The sequence below is a fragment of the Homo sapiens genome, chromosome 13 (assembly GCF_000001405.40).
Source record: "Homo sapiens chromosome 13, GRCh38.p14 Primary Assembly".
Lineage (NCBI taxonomy): Eukaryota > Metazoa > Chordata > Mammalia > Primates > Hominidae > Homo > Homo sapiens.
In genome coordinates, this window is record NC_000013.11 from 89237495 (window position 1) to 89262574 (window position 25080).

Sequence of the window (25080 nt, forward strand, 5' to 3'; positions counted from 1 at the left end):
AGGAGAGAACTTAATCGAGAGCTATAGTTTAGGGAAATATTAAGTGTTAGGAAAGAAAGCAAATGATAATGGGCATTTTTATTTTCATGGAGATGTAAAAAAGTAGACTGCTTTAAAAATATTTAGCAATAGTTGATGTGTGGATAATAGAAAACGTGAGAAATAAGCTTAGATTTGTTGAAAGAAAGCATGAAAGTATACTACAGACATGATATACCAGGCTAGTGGAATCAGTATATTTTCATCTTAGAAAAAAAATAAGTCTAGGTATAAAATAGACTAGATTTGAGGGTCAGAGTCCAGACACAGGACTACCTATATTTACTTTATTTAAAAAAAAACATGCACATGGCATTTATCATGCTTCAAGGACTTCAGTAATAATCTGTAAGTCATAATAAATAGTCCATACTTCACCATAACAACAATGTGAAGTAAATCAAGAGCTTCAAGCAGAGGAGTAGGCACAGGCATATATTGCCTTTAAACATGCTATGCCCGTGTCAGTATTAGCAAGAATGAAACAGGAGCACTAACTCAGAAACCTGTGCAGTACTCCTGCTTGGACAGAAGCCAGGCTGCCTTAGAAAGAGGGCATGTGAGTGGTGAGAAATGGATGGATATTAAATATATAACTGAAGTGGAATAAATAATAACTGATGCTGAAACTAACAAATAATTGTAGCCCAAACTTTATAAACATATGGCTTTTCAGAAGCTGTGTGCTACCAGATGGGAGACTTTGCGCTATGCACATGTTAATTAGGTCCTAACATCTTCTGGTTAGGCAGAAATTTCTTTTTCTTTTTCTTTTTTTCTTTTTTTTCTTTTTTTATTTTTATTTTTATTTTTGAGATGGAGTCTCACTCTTTCACCCAGGCTGGAGTGCAGTGGAGCGATCTTGGCTCACTGCAACCTCCGCCTCCCAGGTTCAAGGGATTCTCCTGCTTCAGCCTCCCAAATAGCTGGGGCTACAGGTGTCTGCCACTACTCCTGGCTAATTTTTTTTGTATATTTAGTAGGGACCAAGCTGGTCTTGAACTCCCGACCTCAGGCGATCCACCCGCTTCAGCCTCCCAAAGTCCTGGGATTACAGGCGTGAGCCACCACGCATGGCCCAGAAATTTCTTATACAACATTACTCTCTGGCACTCTCTTAAATAAGCCGTGAAGTACATTTAGGGACATGTACCAACAAGTCTGTCACACCTGGTTTTTCTGCCTGCAACAGAACAGATCACAGCTTCTTGGCTGAGTCCATTATAAAGTAGTTTGTGTTTAGGGGGCATGAACAAAATAATTTTCACTGTATCTTTAAATATTGGATTCACACTCAGGAAAGTGAGAATGTCACACTGTGAGACACACAGGAGACAAAATTGAATGAAGGCAAAGGCACGTAACATCTCCCATCTCATTTTCATTCCATGGCGTATGCTCATTGAATAAAATAATTCATGAATCATGTTAAATACTTGTCTCTGTTACATTACCACTTCTTTCATCCTTTCCTCTCTCTCCTTCCATCCTAACTTTCGTTCTTTTCTTCCATTTTTTTTTGTTGTCTTCTCTTAGTACATATCTTAAATACATGTACACTAAATGCATAACTCATTTAACCTGAAACCCAGCAGTTTGTCCTAAAAATCATTAGTATGTATAGATAAATTTTTTATTAAGTTTTTTTTTAGTCTCTTCTACTTACCTGAATAATATCTGATTAACTGAACACTGAGTTCCTACATCATTGCTAGGTGATCAAATAGATACCCGTTATCTACAAGCTGTCTTTTAGAACAACAAATTATTTTTCTTCATTAAGAAGTTAATGTGGATTTAAGTGACTTAAAAAACACATGGTTTATATATTGATATCTTTCCTTATTATGACTTCTTTCACCCAACATTTTCCACAATGGGCAAGGAGGCAACTGGAACATGAAACATTAGGATAAAAAGAAATGGTGAGCAAGGGAACTGAAAACACTGTCTGCATAGACCATGTCTTTAGGCAGCTGTGGATGACTTTCCTAAAGCTGTCTCATTGTTTCTCTCTCCACTATTATGGAGTGTATTTCAACAACACATTTCAAAGTCTATGAGCCAACAGGATATTACAAAACACAGAGGATACTCACTTTTCTAATTTAGTAAGGCAAAAAATTCAAAGATTGATTGATTTTTCTGATAACAAAAAGAAAAAAGTTATCAAAATAGCAATTTTGGTATTTCATAAAAAGTGTTATCTAATACTCCTTAAAAAAAACAATTTTCATGAGCCCAAGAATTTCCATGTTTGAGTGCACTGTCTCCTCCTGGGATGGAACAGTTTATCTTCATGATTCACTCAACAAAGATACATTCTGAAAAGTATGTCATTAGATGATTTTGTCATTGTGCAAACATCATAGAGTGTAATTAAGCACACCTAGATAGGATAGGCTACTACACATCTAGGCTGTATCCGTATGGTTTAGCCTATTACTCCTAGGCTGCAAAGCTGCACAGTATGTTACTGTGTTGAATACTGTAGGCAATTGTAACTATTTGCATATCTAAACATATCCAAACACATAAAAGTTACAATAAAAATATAGCATAAAATACAAATAATGGTACACCTGTATAGGGCATTTACAATGGGTAGAGGTTGCAGGACTGGAAGTTGCTCTGGGTGTCAGACAGTGAGGGGTGAGTGAATGTGAATGCCTAGGACATTACTGTACACTACTGTAGACTTTATAAACATGGTATACTTATGATACACAAAATTTATTTAGTTTTTTCTTCAATAATAAATCAACCTTAGCTTATTTAAACTATTCTTACTTTATAAACTTTAAAACTTTTTTAAAAAACTTTTGCCTCTTTTGTAACAACTCAGCTTGAAACACAAGTTATACAACTTAACAAAAATATTTTTTCTTTATATTCCTATTTTTATTTTTGTATTTAAAAAACGTTTAAACTGTTTTGTTAAAAACTAAGACCCAAACACATACATTAGCCTAGGACCACATAGGGTCAGAATCATCATTACCACTGTCTTCCATTGGCACATCATGCCCCACTGGAAGGTCTTCAGGGACCATATGTATGGAGCCATCATCTCCTATGATAGTAATGTTTCCTTCTGGAATACCACCTGAAGCTGTTTTACAGTTCACAATTTTTATAAGTAGAAAGAGTGCACTATAAAATAAAAATAAAATATACTAAATACATAAACTAGTAACATTATCATTTATTACCATTATCAAGTATTGTGGACTGTCCATGATCTCATGTGTCCTGTTTTTATACCACTGGCAGAACAATAGGTTTATTAACACCAGCATCACCACAAACACATGAGTAATGGATTCTGCTACAAAATTAAGATGGCTATGATGTCTCAAGATACTTGGAATTTTTCAGCTACATCATAATCTTATGAGACCACCAGTGTATATACAGTCCCTACTTGACTGAAACGTCATTATGCAGCATATGACTGTGTGAATGGGCCATCAACAGGCCTAATCACCGATTTATGGCCTTTCTCCCTTAGCAAGAGCAGTAGCAAGGATTTACCCTTACATAAAGCTTTTTAATATAAATTATATGTAAAAATACAATTAAATATATAAGCACATAGTGGAACTCATTGACCAATCACGAACATGATAAAAATTCTGCAACTAACAATAGTGAGTTGCCAGGGAGGCAAAATATACTTCCAAATCCTAAATTGAACCAATGATATCAAAGAAGCTTGATATTAGATAAATGATAGAATAATCTTAGCTCAGATATCTTTTCTAATTATAAAAATAATGCAAATGATGTAGAAAAATATTTTTATTGTAATTATGTATCAAACTTTTATTTTTTGCTTTCTTTTTGGACTATTGAATTATACTGTGTTGTAGTTTTGGAAAAGCTCTCAAACTGTGTTTTCCTTGTGATCTCACACCAGCACAACAACATAGAAGACTTCTGTGACCTCAAAATATGTGGCAATATCTTCCCACCAGCAAGCAAGCAATCAGTTTTGCAGTGGACAGCAACTGGGTTTTCTCCATTCAATTCCAACACTGTCTACCTGGAGATAATGTCAGATCCTACAGGCTGGGGTCTCAGTCCCCCAAACTGACCCTTCTTCAGACACCAGTAACAAGTTTAAGCCTCTGCAACTTCTGACCAACTGGCTTCAAGTTGGGTTTCCTACAACCCTCTTTATGTTTAATTTACTGGAGCAGTTCACAGAACTCAGAGAAGCACTGACATTTACCAGTTTATTCTAGAGGATATTCTAAAAGATAAAGGTGCAGAGATACACAGGGCAAAGTATGGGGGACAGGGCAGCATTTATATGTCACCTCTGGGTGCACCCCCCTCCAGGAACCTCCATGGGTTTGGTTATCAGGAGGCACTCTGAACCCAGTCCTCTTGGGTTTTCATGGAAGCTTCATGATGTCAGCATTCTTTCTCCAAGGGTATGGGGCAGGTTCTTCTCTAGAATGGGAGTCTTATGACCTGCAATCAGAAAGGCAGGCAGCGGAAGTTTAAAGTCCTGCTATGGGGCAGGTGAAAGGAGGGTAGGAGTAGGTCAGAGAGATTCTCATTCCTGAGGCCTGCTCTTGAGGCCAGGCACATGCAACATCAATTATAACAAGGGCTATGGGTGTTAGGAACAAGGAACCGGGGAAGAAAAAGCAATGTTATGTATATAACCTTACACCACAATTGCGTTATATTTTATCAATTATTTTCAAAAGAAGTCCATTTGGTAGGTACAATTATATTTATGTTATATAGAAAGAAGCCGCAGCAGAGACTTAAGCAATTTACTCAAGGACACACAACTGTTAAATATTAAAGAAGTAAAACCAAGAAAAGTACTAGGATTAAAGTACTCATAAATGTAACCACAGTAATTATTCAATATTTATTTGCATCTTTTAGTATATTAACATTCTGGCCTCCTTCCTGTCCTGTTTAACTATCTCCTTAGCACTGGCCCCTCATATTTTTCTTCAACGTATGTATTTTAAAATATGTAATTATAAACTGTTGCAGGAAGTCAGGGACCCCAAACAGAGGGACCGGCTGAAGCCATGGCAGAAGAACGTGGATTGTGAAGATTTCATGGACATTTATTAGTTCCCCAAATTAATACTTTTATAATTTCTTATGCCTGTCTTTACTGCAATCTCTAAACATAAATTGTGAAGATTTCGTGGACACTTATCACTTCCCCAGTCAATACCCTTGTGATTTCCTAGGCCTGTCTTTACTTTAATCCCCTAATCCTGTCATCTCGTAAGCCTAGGAGGATGTATGTCACCTCAGGACCCTGTGATGATTGCGTTAACTGCACAAACTGTAGAGCATGTGTGTTTGAACAATATGAAATCTGGGCACCTTGAAAAAAGAACAGGATAACAGCAATGTTTAGGGAACAAGAGAGATAACCTTAAACTCTGACCGCTGGTGAGCCAGGCAGAACAGAGCCATATTTCTCTTCTTTCAAAAGCAAATGAGAGAAATATCGCTGAATTCTTTTTCTCAGCAAGGAACATCCCTGAGAAAGAGAATGCGCCCCTGAGGGTGGGGGTCTCTAAATGGCCCCCTTGGGTATGGCTGTCCTCTGTGGTCGAAACTGTAGGGATGAAATAAACCCCAGTCTCCCATAGCGCTCCCAGGCTTATTAGGAAAAGGAAATTCCCACCTAATAAATTTTGGTCAGACCGGTTGCTCTGAAACCCTGTCTCCTGATAAGATGTTATCAATGACAATGGTGCCCAAAACTTCATTAGCAATTTTAATTTCACCCCGGTCCTGTGGTCCTGTGATCTCGCCCTGCCTCCGTTTGCCTTGTGATATTCTATTACCTTGTGAAGTATGTGATCTCTGTGACCCACACCTATTCATACACTCCCTCCCCTTTTGAAAGTCCCTAATAAAAACTTGCTGGTTTTGTGGCTTGTGGGGCATCACGGAACCAACCAACATGTGATGTCTTTCCTGGATGCCCAGCTTTAAAATTTCTGTCTTTTGTACTCTGTCCCTTTATTTCTCAAACCAGCTGACACTTAGGGAAAATAGAAAAGAACCTACATGAAATATCGGGGGTGAACTTTGCCTGATATCTGGCTGAATTTCCCCTGATAATAAACCATCTTAAAAGTTGCATAATTATGTTTTGTTCTTAATGTGTAAAAATCTACTAAAATATTTTTCAAAGGTTTCTCGTGACGTTTATGTTAAACCCTTAGAGAGAAATTAATTGAGATTTGACTTTTTAAAAATATCTTCAAATCTCCCCTTAAATATTTTAATTATTTACATATAACATCTCTATCACACTGTTATAATAGCATATAGTATTTATTTTAATATATATGAATAATATACACAATATATTCAATATATGCAATAATTTTTATACATTATATGCTATACATTATCTATAGTGTATAATATATAAATATAAATATCAAATAAAATACATTTTAAACATTTGCATGCATACAATAACTGTTTTAACTATTATACCAGAAGATCCTACACATGTATGATATTGCCTATTTCATTCATTCTCACCAATGTTATTATTTTGTCTTTGACTTAATTTTAAATTTTATAAAAGGCAGGTTTGTTTGTTGATATGGTTTGGGTTTGTGTCCCCCAATGTTGGAGGGGGGGCCTGGTGGAAGGTGAGTGAATCATGGGCAGATTTACTGCTTGCTGTTCTTGTGATAGTGAGTGAGTTCTCACTAGGTCTGGTTGTTTAGAAGTGTGTAGCACCTCCCTCTTTGCTCTCTTCTTCCTGCTCTGGACATGTAAGATGTGCCTGCTTCCCCTTCACCTTCTGCCATGATTGTTAGTTTCCTGAGGCCTCCCCAGCCATGCTTCCTGTACAGCCTGTGGAACCGTGAGCCAATTAAACTTCTTTTCCTTATAAATTACCTAGTCTCAGGTAGTTCTTTATAGCAGTGTGAGAATGGACTAATATCTTTGTCTTAAAAATAGAAAGTATTCATAAGAGTAAAGTTAAAATAATATAAACAATAAAAGTTTAGATATTGGGAAAATGTGTCTGTGTATAGAAAATTAACATTACTATTTTTAGCATTTTAAATTTATTTTGTACAACATAAGCATGAAATCATACTTCATATACTGTTTTGTAAAATGAATTTCAAATATGTTATATTTTTTATTAAATTCAAAAGTCAAAGCCAAAATATAGAAGACATTTTTCATACATTACACAGATTAATGAAAAAATCCATTATTGAAGATTGAGGTATCTTGTCCCATTCTCCTCCTCTGTCAACCCATGTCATCATGTTGTATTCATCATATACATGAATGACTTTATAATCTTACTACAAATGCAATAGCCCCCTAAATTACATTTCCACTAAATTTACATCATCTCACTGATCATACTTTATCATCTTCCTGAAACAATGTTTGATATTGATGATGGTGGATGAAAACTTTTCCTCTTCTCTGTTCAAAATTAATAGTATAAAATACAAACTAAGATGGTGATTGAAATGCAATATTACATTGACTCAGGGCTCTAGTTTTAGCCCCATTGAAAAATGTGCTGAGGTGTTAGAACCACTCCAGATTTACCCAGTGATGGGCTGAGAAAGTGAAAAATATCTCCCTGCTTGTGATCAAGGAAAGTGGGTTAATCCTTTCCCTAGTTTATTTAAAGAATTGTACATTATTGGCATGACAAAACAATTATCAGGTTAAATGCAAGAGAAGCAATAGTCATAAGAAGTGATGATTAGTGAGCAATAACATATATTAGCCTATGCCAGCATACAAGTACAGATACATGAAAATTAGAATTTCAACATCAAATAATGCTCTCTGAATACAGCATTAAAAAATAAGTGGATGGCCAAAACTTTTCTCAACATCTTAAGTGATTGCCCACCTATTATTAAAAGTCACTTTATATTTCCTCTTGTGGGTAAAAATATTGTTGAAAGTTTCTCAATTGTGGCCAATGATTGTGTTTTAGAATGAGGGAAATGACAGTGTCTAGAATGTCATTCATTTGCACGTGACAGAATTAAGAAAAGAAAGATAAAAAATATTCTTGGACATATCATAAAACTCAAGTTAAGAAAAATGGTTGAATATCAAGGACAAATGTACATAGGAACCAGGTTGTTGTCTATATTTCTCTCTGTGACTTCCTCTGTCTTAGCTCTCATCCTTTCTTCTTTGTTGTTGTTGTTGTTGTTTTCTTTTTCTGGGTTCTGGAACTCTCAATTTTTCTAGTTTATAAAATAGCAAATTACACAAGTTATCCTCAAAGCTTTGTATCTGACAAGCCAAGATACCAAATTCTCTCTGAATCCGTTTGAAAAGTTCTTATTTAGAACTCTGATTTATTATAGTACAGCAGCCACCAATTGCAGATGGCAAAAACACTTTGCAAGTAAACTAACAGGAAATGAAGGGAGAAAAAGGGCAAAGTCAGGAAAAGTTGTATTGTGCAGATAATGTCATTGTTTGCATGAAAATCTGACATCAGATAATCAAAGTATAAACTCAGCCTTAACACTTATGCTCTTGTTGTCACAAATGACTTTTAACAATATTGAATGCATTGCAATGATTCCACATAAAAGGCAATTACATGCCTAAATAAGGAACACAATCCAAATGAATATCCAACTGTAGTAACTACAGGGGTTGAGGGGTGGCTACTATTGTGAGTTCACACACTTACTTTGGCTTTTGGTCTAATGGTTCTGCAAACTAAGGTCTTAATGACGATATTTTACCACCGTCAAGTACCATGTATGCGATAGGCGGTTAAAGGAAGATCGCTCATAACTTTCATATTTACCAAACTGGGAAATGAATAGCAGTTTTGCAATGGTCTTTATGCTAGAAAATATGTTAAATGGATAAGGGCTCTGATGTACATAAAAGAAGTAACAGTCAACAGACACAAATTATTGACCTCCTCCTATTATTTTTTTAATAAGCAAGATATTGAGAAGAATAGCTAATTGTAGCTTATTTTGCCTTAATTGACGAATTTCTGTTTATGTAGATTCTTGCATCTAGCCTTTCCCAAAAGGATAATATTAACAACTTCTTGTTCATAACACTTGGTGTTTTGTTGGACTCATAACCCTTTTAAACATCAGTTGACTTATTTATTTTACATTGTGGACTTTATTGACACTGAATTTCATAATTATTCCTTAAACATACTATTTGAATCCCCCAAATACTTTTTTTTTTTTTTTGAGACAGAATTTCGCTCTTGTTGCCCAGGCTGGAGTGCAGTGGCATGATCTTGGCTCGCTGCAACCTCCGCCTCCCAGGTTCAAGCTATTCTCCTGTCTCAGCCTCCCGAGTAGCTGGGATTACACGCTCCAGCCACCAAGCCCGGCTAATTTTTTGTATTTTTTTTTTTAGTGGAGACGGGGTTTCATCATGTTGGCCAGACTGGTCTAGAAATCCCGACTTCAGGTGATCCACCCGCCTCGGCCTCCCAAACTGCTGGGATTACAGGCATGAGCAACTGCACCCAGCCGAATTCCCCAAATTCTTAAAATCACTATCTAAAGCCGAGGTATATGCTTTAAGCTTTTATTGTTAGTGGAAAATGTTGATTTTATTTTCATCTTATCAAGCCATAAAAAATTGCTTCAAAGGGCATGGATCTAAACAACTTTAAAAGATATGTTTATCTGGTATGACTAATATTCTTTGTGAAATGTCATCACAAAGATCAATATGCATTCTAATCTAACATTGTTTAATCATAGTGGAAAAATACATAAGGACTGGTCAGGGTGAGATGTAGCACACCTCAGAAGTAGTTTTCAGATCACATTGTTCCCACTCCTGAGGCTCCCCTGAGATATCTTAATTCCAATGCATAGATGTCCATAATTTCCTAGCAAGCATTGTAATTTCAGGTATAAATGCTGTGTAGCAGTGTTTCATCATGTTTCGTGATTATCTGAGTCTTTTTTTTAGATCAGTGATTCTATCTAAAAGTCTTCCCACCTAACAAAATCACTGATTGTTTGCTTTGACTATTTTAAAGCAAGGCATCGAGGACGGGTGTTTCTCTTCTGTGAAGGCTTCTTAAAGGCTAAAATTTCCAGAAAAGAGGGTCTAAATAAGTAATACCATACAAGCTCATTCTGTTTTGTTTTGTTTTGTTTTTGTTTTTGTTTTTGTTTTTGTTTTTGTTTTTGATATGGAGTCTCGCTTTGTCGCCAGGCTGGAGTGTAGTGGTGCGATCTCGGCTCACTGCAACCTCTGCCTCCTAGGTTCAAGCAATTATCTTGCCACAGCCTCCTGAGTAGCTGGGATTACAGGCACATGCCACCACACCCAGCTAATTTTTGTATTTTTAGTAGAGATGGGGTTTCACTATGTTGGCCAGGATGGTCTTGATCTCCTGACCTTGTGATCTGCCCACCTTCACCTCCCAAAGTGCTAGGATTACAGGCGTGAGCCAACGCACCCAGCAATATTGTATTTTTTTAATTAAAAAGAGTACAAGATGTTGTATTAATCAAGGTTTGATAAAGAAACAGAACCAATAGAATATATATGTGTATTTATGTATGTGTGTATATGTATATGTGTATATATCAATATATGGATATATACACAGAAAGAGGGATCTATTGTAAGGAACTAGTTCTCCCAGTTGCACAGGCTGGCTAGTCCAGCATCTGCAGAGAATAGCAGCAGACTGGAGATCCCAGGGAAGAGTTGGTGTTGCAGCTCCAGTCTCCAGAAGGTTGACTGTAGGGAGATTTTTCACTTCCTCAGGGGATTTCTGTCTTTTTTTTCTCTTAAATCTTTTGACTAATTGGTTGAGGCCCACCTCTATTATGAAGAATAATCTGCTTTATTCTGAGTCTACTGATTTAAATATTAGTCTTCTCTAAAAAATAACTTCACTAACAACATTTAGACTAATGCTTGATTGAATATTCTGATATAGCCTAGCCACATTGATACATAAAATTATAGTAGCATAAATTTCCTAAGTAATATAAATCTCAAATATTTCGTCTCAGAATCTCAAAACACTTGATGATAGACACCCAAAGCGTCTATGAAATTTGTATTGCTACCATGTATTTATAGTTGCTGAAAATGAGGAAAAAGAATCTATTCTGGTTTTTTAGGTGTAAAACTTAAAACGAATCAAAATCACTGTGACTAAATTTACTGGCTAAGTTATACCTGCAAACGGAAAGAAAATGAAAAGAAACAGTTGTGTTCCAGGTACTTTGTCTTCCATAGTCTGTTACCAAAAAGATTTTTAAGAGCTTCAGAAATCTGTTCTAGTATAAAAATAAAGTCAAAAGGCTTCTGTAAAATAACCATTAAAAGTGTACAGAAGAAATCTGTAAATTCTTAATATTAAAGGGAACCTCACCAAACTCATAGTATAGAAAAATGCCCATCTTACTGGGTCTTATTATTGGAAGAAGCCGGATTCTCTTCGACTCAATACAATATAACTGCTCTGAGCATATCCCCCAATTGCACAAGAACACCCAGAAATAATAGCTGATTCTGTCATTTCTGAGCAAGACAGTCTTGAGAACCCCTCAACATCCATTTAGGGTTGTTACTCAATTTTACCTCCCAGTAATGCCTGCCATAATTACATTTCTTAGAATCTGGACAGCAGAGCAGAAAAAAAGCTTTCTTGTTTTATAATAAAGATTGTGTTTTTTCTTTCCATATTACATAATTTTTCTATACTCAAAGATGTTAAGGTGAGGATGTGCTGTTTCAAGATACATAATCACATCTGCTTGAAATAGCTTAATAATTTCATCCAACCCAGAATATTGTAGAAGACAGAATTCATATTTTTTTAATCAAAATGAAAATAAATTAGGATATTTTGAGTTTCTATCATTCAGGTGAATATTTGTAACTTCAGTAATTCCAGTTCAGAGTGCACATATGTGCTTTCTACCTCCCTCCCTAGATATTTTAATGTGAATACATGATCTGAGAATTGTGTAAGGTTTTTAAGTTTTTATAATTTCCATCCCTTCATCTTGCATCTGCCTAATAATAGTCTCTTGATCACTCAGTAAAAACAATTTAAGTTGCTCAGATTCAGAATGTATTTCTTCTCTCCTACATTTTTTTTCAGCTCCATTGATTTGTTGGCTTACAAATTTATCACTGTTTCAATTCCTTCCACACTATTCTTCAAATTCAATGCTACATTTAAGAATTTTCCTGTGGTGGAGGCAGCATTCTTAATGGGGCAAATGTAATGCTTCCATTGTTTTGAGGAGAAATTGCACTGTATTTACAGAACCTCTAGGTTCTTTTCACAGAGAAAAGCCAGAAATTGATTATATTTATTATACCTGGTATTCTATCCTGTGTTTTCTTGTTGTTTTTTCTCATCTGTAGTATCTTATCAATTTCAGTCAAATTACCAAGCTAGAGATTTTGCCTGAAGTTTTCGTCTGGGCGGTAAAAATGGCAGACAGACTTGAAAAAGGTATTATCTAGAACTTTCCACGATATATTGATGCAGGAGCCACACAGATTGTGCCCATAGTTGAGTCTTTCAAGTAATCCACAAGGGATTACTTGGGCCATTGAGTCTTTCAAGTAATCCAGAAGAATGTCCAGCTAAACTCCTCTTGGAGGTTTGCAAGGGCTGTCACAAATTCCACTAAGCCATGACCAAATGGGGTGGGCTAGAGAAAGCAAGGCCTCCATCTCTAGAGCTCAAGGCTAAGTGAAAATGGATATCTCCCCGGAAACCTCAAAGACTGACTGGCTGTAGGTTTCACTGGTCCTACCAAAGTCTCATTTAGGCCTCTGCCTCTTAGCTCCAGAAGCAGCTTGCATGTCGATCACATATCAGCCCACCTAAAGTTAAGTACGATGACTTTCTTCAAGAAAGTAGCCAGAGGTCCAAGAAAGTAATCATTTCTTTACAATATAGACATCTAAATACACTAACTTTATCTGGTAATGGGACAAACTGATTGCCTGGAGTAAATGGCTCAGAGACTTTGGCCTGAGGTTGTGCAGAAGCCTCTGAGTTATGTTCAGCCCAGGACTGGTGAAACCCCAACACGCCCCTGAGGATGGGTTTCTGCAAAAACGGTGCACACACAGTCCACACCATGATTGAGGATTACCCTGGAAGTAGCCTCTATAGTCTTTTGAAAATCATGCACACACACACACAAGCACACACACACACTACCCACACACACACACTAACACGATACAACTAAAACATGTAAACCTGAAAATAAATTCAGCCACAATCTTCAGAGGAAGAAGTTTGCCACCTTTGCTTTTATCCTTGACCCACTTTAGTCTATTGCCAAAAGTAAACCAGATTAATTGCATTAAAACATGTCATGTTACTCTTCCAAGCCCATGATATTTAGTGTGGCCATTGGTCCAGCAACACGTTCTGGAGACAGATTTATGCCTACCGAATCAGAAATTCTGGAGAGAGAGCTCTGCAATATTTTTGACTGTCCTCTCAGGTAATTTTAATGCAACTAAATGTTAACAGCCATTGCTCTCCACAAAATATTGCATTGGGTCCTCATAAAGTAAATACCCTTACAATTCTCTAGAACTTAATGATATTTTTTCTTCTCATACTTTTTCTCTGCTTGCTAACCTCTCTAGATGCACTGCTTTCTTGGCTGTTTGTTCCTTAAATAAACCACTTTCCATAACATGTACTTACACTGTACTTTTTCTTTCCATTGCCTAATGTTTTCCCCAGAGATCCATATTCTTCAGAAAACCACCTCTTGACTTCAATGCCACCCTTCCAGTGAGTCTCTTTGTACCTCAGGCCTAAAATTTACACCGTCCCACTGAGCATCTCTATCTTCACTCCTTGTTGAAGATTCTCCTTAATACTCATCACTACTTACCGTGCTCTATTTTCATTTAATTTTCCTAGTAATTGTCTACTCCCTAGAATAGGTCCTGAGGTCTGAAATCCTTGAAAAACAGATTTGTATTTGTTGTTTTTCATTGTTTGGCTCACTTTTGAGGTCCAAGAATATCTAGTAATGGCATGGCAATGCATGATAAATTGGTGTGTCATGACTGAAGATAACATTTTACATAGATTAAAAATATATTCTAAAAATTAATATGTCAGATATTTATTTTATAGTACAATCAGATGTTCTGTCTTTCAAAATATATTTGCTGTATCTATAGTTTACATTTTAAAAATGCACACTTGCTCTTAAATGTAGGTTTTCTACTTGGGAGTTTAGAATGGATATTACATAATTGTGTTTTATACATCACCGAAATATTGCATATGAAATTCCTTATAGTTATAACAAATTTATGTGTTTTAGTTTTCATTTTCCCTGTTATATTTTCATTTTTTCATCCTACAGTGAAAAATCAATACTTTACGAATTTTTTTCTCATTTTTTTCAGAAATTCTTAAGGAATATTGGAATTATAACATATTTTCTCATTTTATATATTTAAAAGTATGTAGAACATGTCCCATATTAGAGAAAAATGTATTATTTCAGTGAACAAAGTGAACAATTATGTCAGCTAAGATGTTATTCACAAAGAGAGTAAATTCTTCTCAACTTTTTTATAAAAATTATTTTTGTTCAAAGGTTAGTTTTTACCCCTTAAGTTTATAAACTATCTTTTATATGTGACTTACTCTGAAATTGCTTTAACATTGTATATTAGAAACTACAAAGCATGTTAATGGCTACTCCCTAAAGAATTATTTTTAGGACTCTACCTAATTTTACTAGTCCTGAAATAGAACAGTCTCTTTGGACAAGTAAAAACCACATGAACTTGGACTGAGAAATTTGGATTTTAATGAATTTGCTGCCCATGCCTTTAACGAAGTCATTTAATCTCACTGGGCTTCTGATTCCTCATCTACAAACTTAACGTTTTGGTTTCTAGACTTCAGTAGTTTGTTCTAATTTTATCTTCTTAAAAATTGCTACTTGTTTTAGACTTAAATTTGCCTTTTTCCCCCCAAATAGATTTCTGTGCAAAGTATAGATTTCAAGCTTCTTCATTTCATTCTTTTGGCACCTGAAATGTTTATTACCAGGGATTATGAACAAAAGAGCTTCCCGAAGAGTTTATGTTGGCTTTTTTTATTGGTCATCCTGTACACTAAATATGTATCTATCACATTAGGCTTATTAATATTTTTTCTAATTCTCAGTATTTATCCATTTTCAGAAAGTTTATTCTGACCAGATAGGGAAATGTATGTTAATATATTTTCTGTTTTAAAGTTTGGATTCAAATGGTTTTGTAGTTCAAACTTTGCAGTTCATTATGGGACCTCTATTAGGTTCAGTAATGATAGCATACTTGCTGTATTTCTTCTAGGTTTTTTGTTCTTTTTTTTCAGTTATATGAAATAAATTTTGCAGCAAAACTCGTTTTTGCTAATTACTTTTTTTTCAAGGGTCATCTTTTTTCTTTTATTATTATTCTTGGAAAAAGTTGAGGGAAGGATGAATAAAGAGGTGGATGGTCAGTTTCATCCATGAAAATAATATTATATCTGCAGACGCTAAATAACGTAAAAACAACAGTGGCACAAGAACATATAGTCATATGAAATCACATTGCTCCAAACTTTTTAGGAGACACAAACATTTTTATAGAAAATCTGGAGGATGAGAAAAACATTTTATTTGTTTGCTTGTTAAGAAAATGCTTTGTGTGACATACAATTTTAACTATAAGTGATTTTCTTTATAGGAAATGCTAAATGAAAAGGATAGGTGTTTTATGTAGTTCTGAAGCCCTGAGGTTTCAGTTATATAAACAAGGATTGAGCAAAAGAATATATTAAGAACATATAAATTTTATTTATTTATCAGAATTATATGGTGCCTTTTCTTTTGCCACGTCAATAAATATATTGCTTACTTCCAGCATTAAGGCCAACTTTCCTTTGGAGGGACCATAGAATTTCTCCAAGTGCTGCTATTAGTTACTATTGCTAGTTCCTTTTTGATCACCTCTGTAGATATTATCTGTCTGCAGTTCTTTACTTATCAAAGTAAGCCTTGCCATTTTATCAACTGTAGGTATGTCTGAGGTATAAAAGAAAAAAAAAACTCAGAATATACAATATAATACTTTCGTTCCTCATCTTTTGAATTTATTCAGAACTGTTTCACCTGTAATAGCAACTGTCATAATGGTTCCCATGTGACTAATTATTTTCCTATTGCAAAAATATTAATTTTCATAGAAATTCTATTTAACAAATGAAAATTCTTACCAATAAAACCCATATCTAAATGGTCTGATTTTGAAACATATTTTTCGGCAATGTACTTATATTTGTGAACTGCCTATTTTTTTACTGCTTAAATAATTATGTGCTAAACTTTTTCTTAAATAATTATGTGGTAAACTTGATGTGTTTATGACTCAAACTTTCTGACAAGATTTTTTTATCATCAACAAAGAAATGGCAGATGAAATAGCTACTTTAAACATATGCATACAATTTTTAATACAATCAATAGTGGTGGTAATGAATAAGCTAACTTCTTAATCCCAAAAGAGTTTATTTTAACATTTAGTCTGTATTTTGTGTTTACTTAGAATTAATTTTTAAAATGCAATCGATTTCTTTTTCTAAGAATAAGCCTTCTTATCCTACCTATAGGTACAATTACAAGACCTAAACTAATCCATTATGGTTCTTCTCAAGAGTGCTGTAGGTGGTGACTATTGAGGAATAGACAGAGATTGAGGATAACATGAAGGAGAAAAGTAATGAAAGTGATATAAACTAAACTGAGTACCTAGAGGCACTCACAGACCACTAAATGAGGATAATTATCAATTTATGAGAGATAATGACTAATAAATGAGGGGTATGATTAACTTAATGTACCTGAATTATCAAAGATTTAAAGAGAAAAAAGGAGACTACAAGAAGGACATTTTAGTTTTGGTGATCAAAGAAGTTCATGGGAGGAAGTGATGTAGACCAATAAGGAGATAAATGAAAGATGGGAATGTGAGTAAAGATTGGGCTGCTGGGGAGAGAATTCCAGAAAGAGAAAGGAGAAAGCACATTTTTTCCTAAGTTGGGAAGGATTCTGATTATGCATGACATTGAGTTTTTTTTTTTTTTTAAGCATGGAAGGGTGCATAGTCTCTTTTTAAATCTTTCATTCCTTTCTTGTGCTTTTCTTTCTGTTCTTTTTTTTAATATTGTTATTTCTTTTACTCTTTAACAAGCATTTGAGGGTTTATTTTTCTGAGCACATACTTAACTATGTAACATGAGTTTTATTGTATAGTACCCTTTTTACTGTTCTCATCTATAAAATGGAGATAAAAATAGCACACATTGGGCAGAGCACGGTCGCTTACGCCTGTAATCCCAACACTTTAGGAGGTCGAGGCAGGTGGATCACCTAAGATCAGGAGTTCAAGACCAGCCTGGCCAACATGGCGAAACCCCTTCTCTACCCAAAATACAAAAAAAATAGCCGGGCATGGTGGTGGGCGCCTGTAATCCCAGCTACTCAGTAGTGAGACAGGAGAATTGCGTGAACCCGGGAGGCGGAGATTGCAGTGAGCTGAGTTCGTGACATTGCACTCTAGTCTGGGTAACAGAGTGAGATTCCATCTCAAAAAAAATAAATAAATAGCACACTTTTTCTAGGGTTGTTGTGAGGATTGAATGAGTTAATGAATATAAAGGGCTAAAAAGACAGACAGCATTTGATATGGTTTGGCTGTGTCCCCACCCAAATCTCACCTTGAATTGTAGCTCCCATAAACCCCACATGGGAGGTACCAGGTAGGAGGTAACTGAATCATGGGGGTGGGTTATTACTGTGCTGTTCTTGTGATAGCAAATAAGTCTCATGAGATCTGGTCCTTTTATAAAGAGCAGTTCCCCTGCACATGCTTTCTTTGCCTGCTGCCATGTAAGATGTGTCTTTGCCTGTCCTTTGCCTTCTGCCATGATTGTGAGGCCTCTTCAGCTATGTGGAATTCTGAGTCTATTAAACCTCTTTTTCTTTATAATTTACCCAGTCTGGTGTATTTCTTCGTAGCAGTATGAAAATTGACTAATACAGCAATATCAAAATTGTTCACTGTATGTTAGCTACTTCCCCTTTCCTCTTTCTCTTCATTATTCTTAATAATATCCATGTTTCATTATGCATTATTTGTGCACTATTTTGCATTATTTGGTTTCACTTAGTGCACATTGACAGGTCATGTTCTTACATTTACATTTTGTAATTTTTGAAATCTAGATAGTATTTTTACTCCACTATAACATCCATTTAAAAATTAGAACACATATATTTCTTTATACTAGCACTTCACTCACACTATACTATTTCTTTTGTCACCTCCAACTACACTATCCATTTTAGCTTTATTCATATTCATAAAAATTATATTCAGTTCCATAACAGAAGCCATTTAGCATTATCCCTATAGTTAAATACTTTTTATTGCCATGTAAGCAATTATCCCAAAGCTTCATGGTGTAAACTTGCAAACGTTTGCTACTTGTCCATTTCTGTGGACCAAGATTCCAAATGTTGCTTAGCTGAGTGCCTCTGGTTCCTGATCTTTCATAAGCTACAGGCTGGAATGCAGTTGTTGACAGGATTCCACACCTGATGGTAGGCAGAAGCCCTGAGTTTCTCACGGACTCAGGGCCTCCCCACTTACGCATCTCCTTACTGCAGCTCACATAATGACAGCTGGCTTATTTCAGAGCAAGCAAGGGAGAAACAGGACACAAGAATAAAGACATGGTCTTTTTGCAGTCTATACTTGAAATTGTCTTCTGTCATACTCTTTTCATGAAAAGGAAACATCTAAATGTAGCCCACATTCAAAGGGAAGGAAATATTCAAGGGTGTTAAGTACCAGGAGGCAGGGACCATTAGGAGGCCTCTTACCAGCTGCCTATCCTATTGCAAGTGGGTACAGCACTCAGCGCTTGATCTTTTGTCACCACCGAAACAGCAAGTGTGCATTATTTATTTTGACTTTTCTTATATTTGTTCCAAGTTTTCACCATCAAATAGGTCTTCCTATTTTGAAACTTGAGATATGAATTTTATATTTTAGGATTTGTGCTTTATTGTTACATTTTGCCTCACCTCCTGACCAAAAAAAAAAAAATCCTAGGTCGGGTAATTCTGGAATCTTTGCATAGTCTGAAGATATCATACCACTCTTTTATGAATCTTGATGCTGAGAAAAATTCTATCTCAAGTTAACCTTATTTTTTCATTTTATATGGTCTTCTTTATAGACATAGGCCATCTGTATGCTAAAGAAATGGAAGTAGGGCAATGATCTAGGTCAGATAGAAATTTCAAGTTACTTAGAATATCTTATAACAGTTTCTTTACAAGTCAGTTTTGACTTTTACCCTGAGGGTATATTAATGATAGTAAACATGGACTGAGTAATTATTAAGAGGCTCAGATATTGAGCTCAGTAACTAATCGACATTATTTTAATTGCCATGAAAATTCTATATGAGAGATACTTTTTTCCTCCAATTCTACAACTGATAAAAAAAAGGACCAAGAATGTATTATACAGAATTATTTAAACTAGACATGCTAGAGCATCCAAAATATTTTAGAAATATGATGTGACCCATTTACTCTCTATTTGATAACAACTCTAGAGGTGTCTATAGCAGTACAATCAAACATATTGAGAAATATATGAATAAAAATATTAGCATGTCTGTATGAAACATTTGGATATGCATAGGTAACAGAGTTAATAAAATTTTAAATTTCCTTTTAAATGACACCAAGTAAGTTTGTACCAAACCTTTACAATCTTTGATATGTTAAAGCTACTGAATTTTGGAATTGCAGAGAGGGGGATGTTAGCATGTGAATTTAGAGACCTGTGTGCAAAGGCTAGCAGCTGGCCAGTGGTTTCCGGGGGATTTTAAGCCAAGTAGCCTAACTTCAAGATCCACATTTTTAAGTGTTCCATATCAGTGGCTTGGACAAGTCTGGCGACACTCAATTTGGAGGTTTTTCTTCCACTTAGAATTCCTCTCACCTGGAATCAAATACTGCTTCTGAGACTTACTAAGTGTTTGTGACTTTGAGCAATTTGCTAACTCTTTTCGATAACCCCGGGTGATGAAATGTGGTACTTGCTACTGTGGCCACCCCAGATATCCTTCAATACTAATTGTGCTACTTTAAGACATTGTTTAACCAAGTCCCCAAAGCTCTTATCTCAGGAGTCAAGTGGTCTGAATCCTAAGATAACACTTAAAACTGATGATTCATTACTACCAACTTCATTGCTAATTTCCTTGCTAAAATAAAAGCTTTCATAATGACTTCTACTACACATGGATTCAACTCACTTACCTTTTAAAAGACTAGTATGGTTTTGTTGTGTCCCCACCCAAATCTTATCTTGAATGTAGTTCTCATACTTCCCACGTCATGGGAGGGACCTGGTGGGAGGTAATTGAATCATAGGGCGAGGGCGATTGCCCTCATGCTATTCTCATGATAGTAAGTTCTCACGAGATCCGATGATTTTATAAGGGGTTTTCCCTTTCATTCAGTTCTCATTTTTCTCTTTCCTGCTGCCCTGTGAAGAAGAACATGCTTGCTTCCCCTTCTGCCATAATTGTAAGTTTCCTGAGGCTTCCTCAGCCATGCTGAACTGTGAGTCAATTAGACCTCTTTCCTTTATAGATTACCCAGTCTCTGGTGTGTTTTTATTAGCAGTGTGAGAACAGACTAATACAAAGACGGTCATGTGATAGTCCCAGTTTCTGAGAACAGTTTTAATAACAGAAAACTGAGTAGTAAATTTAAGAAGTATTATTAAGATGTGTGTAATTAAATATGGTTGCAGAAACAAGTTCTAAACAAGTCCTACACTTAAAATACTAATTTCATGCAGTAATGTTTATATTCATTTTTTCTCTTGCTTTTTAAATTTAGTGATATTTAAAATATAAGAATAATTTGAGCACTACGCCACAAGGAATGTTTAATGTCACATTTGATGTATGTAGTATTATGAATTCATTATGTTTGTTGATAAAGGTCAGGGAAACTATGTGACTTTGCTCATCCCTTCCACTTTCACTGAGTACATCACTCTTCTGAAACTGGTGTGTAACTTTTCTATTCATAGTTCTGTAGTTTTACTTCACACATACAAGTGTATTACAGCATTGTTTGTAAAATTTTGTAAACAACCTAAATGTTTATCAATATGGGAATGGATATCTAAATTTAAAAATTATGCATATAATTATTAATAAGTATTTTTAAAATATATCTGATTGTATTGTTTACCCTTTAAAAATTCATGAGTAACAATATAGGATAAAGGCTTGCCAGGTTTGCTGATAATGTTATCTGCCTTATCAAATTTGATTAGAAATTTTTTAAAGCCAAGGAGTTTCCTGTAATTTATTCAGAAAGTATTCTTCACAATGACCGTTAACTAAAACTGCAAAAATTACGTTGCTAACAGAAGAAGTGCAATTGGAAAACACTGACTGTAATCCAACTATGCCATAGGGTAACAATATTTAATTTGATTTGCCTTCTCCAGCAACGTTAATTATGCTGACGTGGAAATATGGGAGCAGTTTTATCAACTAGATTTATATTTGGCTTAGCAGAGGTGGAAGTCATGTAATGATGTCCATCCAGATGACTCGAGGGTTAAAGTTTAAGTATATCTGGTTAAATAATTTGATCTACTGCTAAATATTATCCATAGATTTTACAGTTTTCTGGTTTGGGTTGTGAGATTTCAGAGAAGTATAGATGTAAAATAAAAATTAAACATTTTCAATACTTTTTTTATTTACTTGTGCTTTTCCTAATTAATTGAGGAAGAAAATGTGTAGGACTCATGCTATCAAATTTTAATTAAAAAGGAAAAAGAACAAATTAGTATTCATGAGCCTAGAGAAATCCTTAATATTTTTAATCAGTGAATGCCTATACCACAGAGAAAATCATGCTGATTGATATACATAGAAACATACTAATTGCAGATTTCAAATAAATGTTCTTTAAATCTTCATGAATAAAAAAAGTATGTTGTGTTTTCAGAATCAGCTATTATTTTTAACAACATCCAGTAACAGGTAAAATTATAATATCATATTATTAGGTTGTATTTATATAAAGAAAGTGTCTCTTTACTTCCAGTTTCCCAGGTTGCTACACATTTTCATTCATCATCTACTAAGAGGACCTTTACTGGGTTGCTAATTATTTGGGTTGCCCTTATTGTGGCTAAGATTGGGCACTAGACCTAGGTGGTCCGAATCTAAAATGCAGCCAGATTTTTGTCTAAGCAATTGCAGTTTTTATTGCTTGATTGAAACTAATTCTTGCTTTCTTCTTTCTTTCATGATGTAATCTAGAAGCATTGAAAGAATTTGCTAGTTGGAAGTGGAACAAGAAATATTGCTTGAAAAATGTTAAACTGGAGCACTTAGTTAAAATATTCCAGTTTGTTGTCATACAGTTTTGCTTTCCATTGGCATACGTTTAAACGTCTATAGAGTGGGCTGTATAATTTTATATGGGTTCTGTTCTCATATCCTTATAATATTTCTTCTTCTCAGCCAGCATACGAGATTAATTCCTTTTGTAACTAATACCACTTATCAAGTAGCCTCTGTTTTCTCTGCTTAAAAAAATGGGTTTTAAGGAATACATTCATAAACAGGGAAAAAATTCAAACCATGTGTAGGTCAGAAAGTAACCATCCTTCTACTTTCCAAGTCCATGAGTTCAGCTGTCTTAATTTAGATTCCACAAATAAGTGAGATCATGCAATGTTCGTTTTTCTGTGCCTGGCTTATTTCACTTAACATAATGATTCCAGTTCTTGCCATGTTGTTTCACATGACTAGATCTCACTCTTTTTTATGACCAAATAGTACTCCACTGTGTATATGTACCATATTTTATCCATTCATCTGTTGAGGAACAATTAGGTTGCCTCCAAATCTTAGTTATTATAAACAGTGCTGCAGCAAACATAGGAGTGCAGGTATTTCTTTGAGATTCTGATTCCCTTTCTTTTGAGTATATACCTAGCAGTGGGATTGCTGGATCATATGTACCTCTATTTTTAGTTTTTTGTTTATTTTTTGTTTATTGTTTATTTTTAGTTTATTTTAGTTTTTTGAAGAGTCTCCAAAAGTGTTCTCCATAGTAGTTGTATTAACTTACATTTCCACCAACAGTGTAGTGGGATTCACTTTTCTCCACATCTTCACCAGCCTTTGTTATTACCCACCTTTTGAATATAAGCCATTTTAACTGGGGTGAGATGATATATCATTGTATTTTTGATTTGCATTTCTCTAATGATCTGTGATATTCATCACCTTTTCATATATCTGTTTGCCATTTGTATGTCTTCTTTTCAGAGATGTCTATTGAAATCTTTTGCCCATTTTTGACCAGATTATCAGATTTTTTCCTACAGAGTTGTTTGAGCTCCTTATATAATCTGGTGATAAATTCATTGTTGAAGTGGTATTTTGCATATTTTCTTCCATTTTATGTGTTGTCTCTTCACTTTGTTGATTGTATTCTTTACTGTGAAGAAGTCTTTTAATTTGATGTGATCCCATTTGTCCATTTTTGCTTCAGTTGCCTGTGACTGTGGTGTATTGCTCAAGAAATCTTTGCCCAGAACAATTTTCTGGAAAATTTACCCAATGTTTTCCTCCAGTAGTTTCATAGTTTGAGGCCTTAGGTTTAAGTATTTAATGCATTTTAATTTCATTTTGTATATGATGAGAGATAGAGATCTAGTTTCATTTTTCTGCATATGGATAACCAGTTTACCCAGCACATTTATTGAAGAGACTGTCTTTTCCCCACTGTATATTCTTGGCACCTTTATCAAAAACGAGTTCACTGAGTGGTGTGTGGATTAGTTTCCAGGTTCTGTATTCTCTTCCGTTGGTCTATGTGTCTGTTGATATGCCACTACCATGCTATTTCGGTTATTATAGCTCTGTAGTAGAATTCGAGGTCAGGTAATGTGATTCTTCTAGTTTGGTCCTTTTTGCTTAGGATACCTTTGGCTGTTCTGGGTCTTTTGTGGTTTCATGTAAATTTTAAGATTGTTTTTTCTATTTCTGTGAAGAATGTCATTAGTATTTTGATAAGGATTGCATTGAATCTGTAGATTGCTTTGGGTAGTAGGGACATTTTAACAATATTGATTCTTTCAATCTATAAACATGGAATAACTTTTTATTTTTGTGTGTCCTCTTCAATTTATTTCATTAGTCTTTTATAGCTTTCATTATAGAGATCTTTCATTTCTTTGCTTGATTCCTAAGTATTTAATTTTATGTGTGGCTATTATAAATGGGATTACTTTCATATTTCTTTTTCACGTTGTTCATTGTTGGCATACAAAAATGCTACAGATTCTCATATGTTGATTTTGTATCTTGCAAATTTATTTATTTATTTTTATTTTTTTTTATTTTTATTTTTTTGAGACAGAGTTTGGCTCTGTCACCCAGGCTAGAGCGCAGTGGTGCAATCTTGGCTCACTGCAAGCTCCGCCTCCTGGGTTCATGCCATTCTCCTGCCTCAGCCTCCCGAGTAGCTGGGACTACAGGTGCCCACCACCACGCCCAGCTAATTTTTTGTATTTTTAGTAGAGACGGGGTTTCACCGTGTTAGCCAGGATGGTCTCGATCTCCTGACCTCGTGATCCACCCTTCTGGGTCTCCCAAAGTGCTGGGATTACAGGCGTGAGTCACTGCGCCTGGCCCCTGGCAAATTTATTTAATTGTTTATCTGTTCCAATAGTTTTCTTGTGGAGTCTTCCAAATATAAGATTACATCATCTGCAAACAAGGATAATTTGACTTAATTCCTTCCTATTTGGATGCCTTTCATATACTTCTCTTGTCTGATTGCTATAGCTAGGACTTCCAGTTCTATGTTGAACAACAGTGGGAATAGTGGGCATCCTTAT

At 35.1% G+C, this 25080-nt stretch overlaps 1 long non-coding RNA gene and 1 pseudogene across 1 annotated transcript in view, besides 1 other annotated feature; one reads left to right on the plus strand and one right to left on the minus strand.

Annotated features, from left to right (window-relative positions):
• LINC00440 (long intergenic non-protein coding RNA 440) overlaps window positions 1–25080 on the plus strand; it is a 44950-nt gene that overhangs the window by 2204 nt on the left and 17666 nt on the right. The window lies entirely within an intron of this gene.
• Window positions 5467–5968: an enhancer, noted in NCBI's record as "NANOG hESC enhancer chr13:89895215-89895716 (GRCh37/hg19 assembly coordinates)". NCBI's record gives its function as "activates a minimal SCP1, AML or CMV promoter by ChIP-STARR-seq in naive H9 embryonic stem cells {active_cell/tissue: H9 hESC(naive)}" and the evidence as "EXISTENCE:reporter gene assay evidence [ECO:0000049][PMID:30033119]".
• Window positions 11366–13177, minus strand: TRIM60P13 (tripartite motif containing 60 pseudogene 13; annotated as a pseudogene).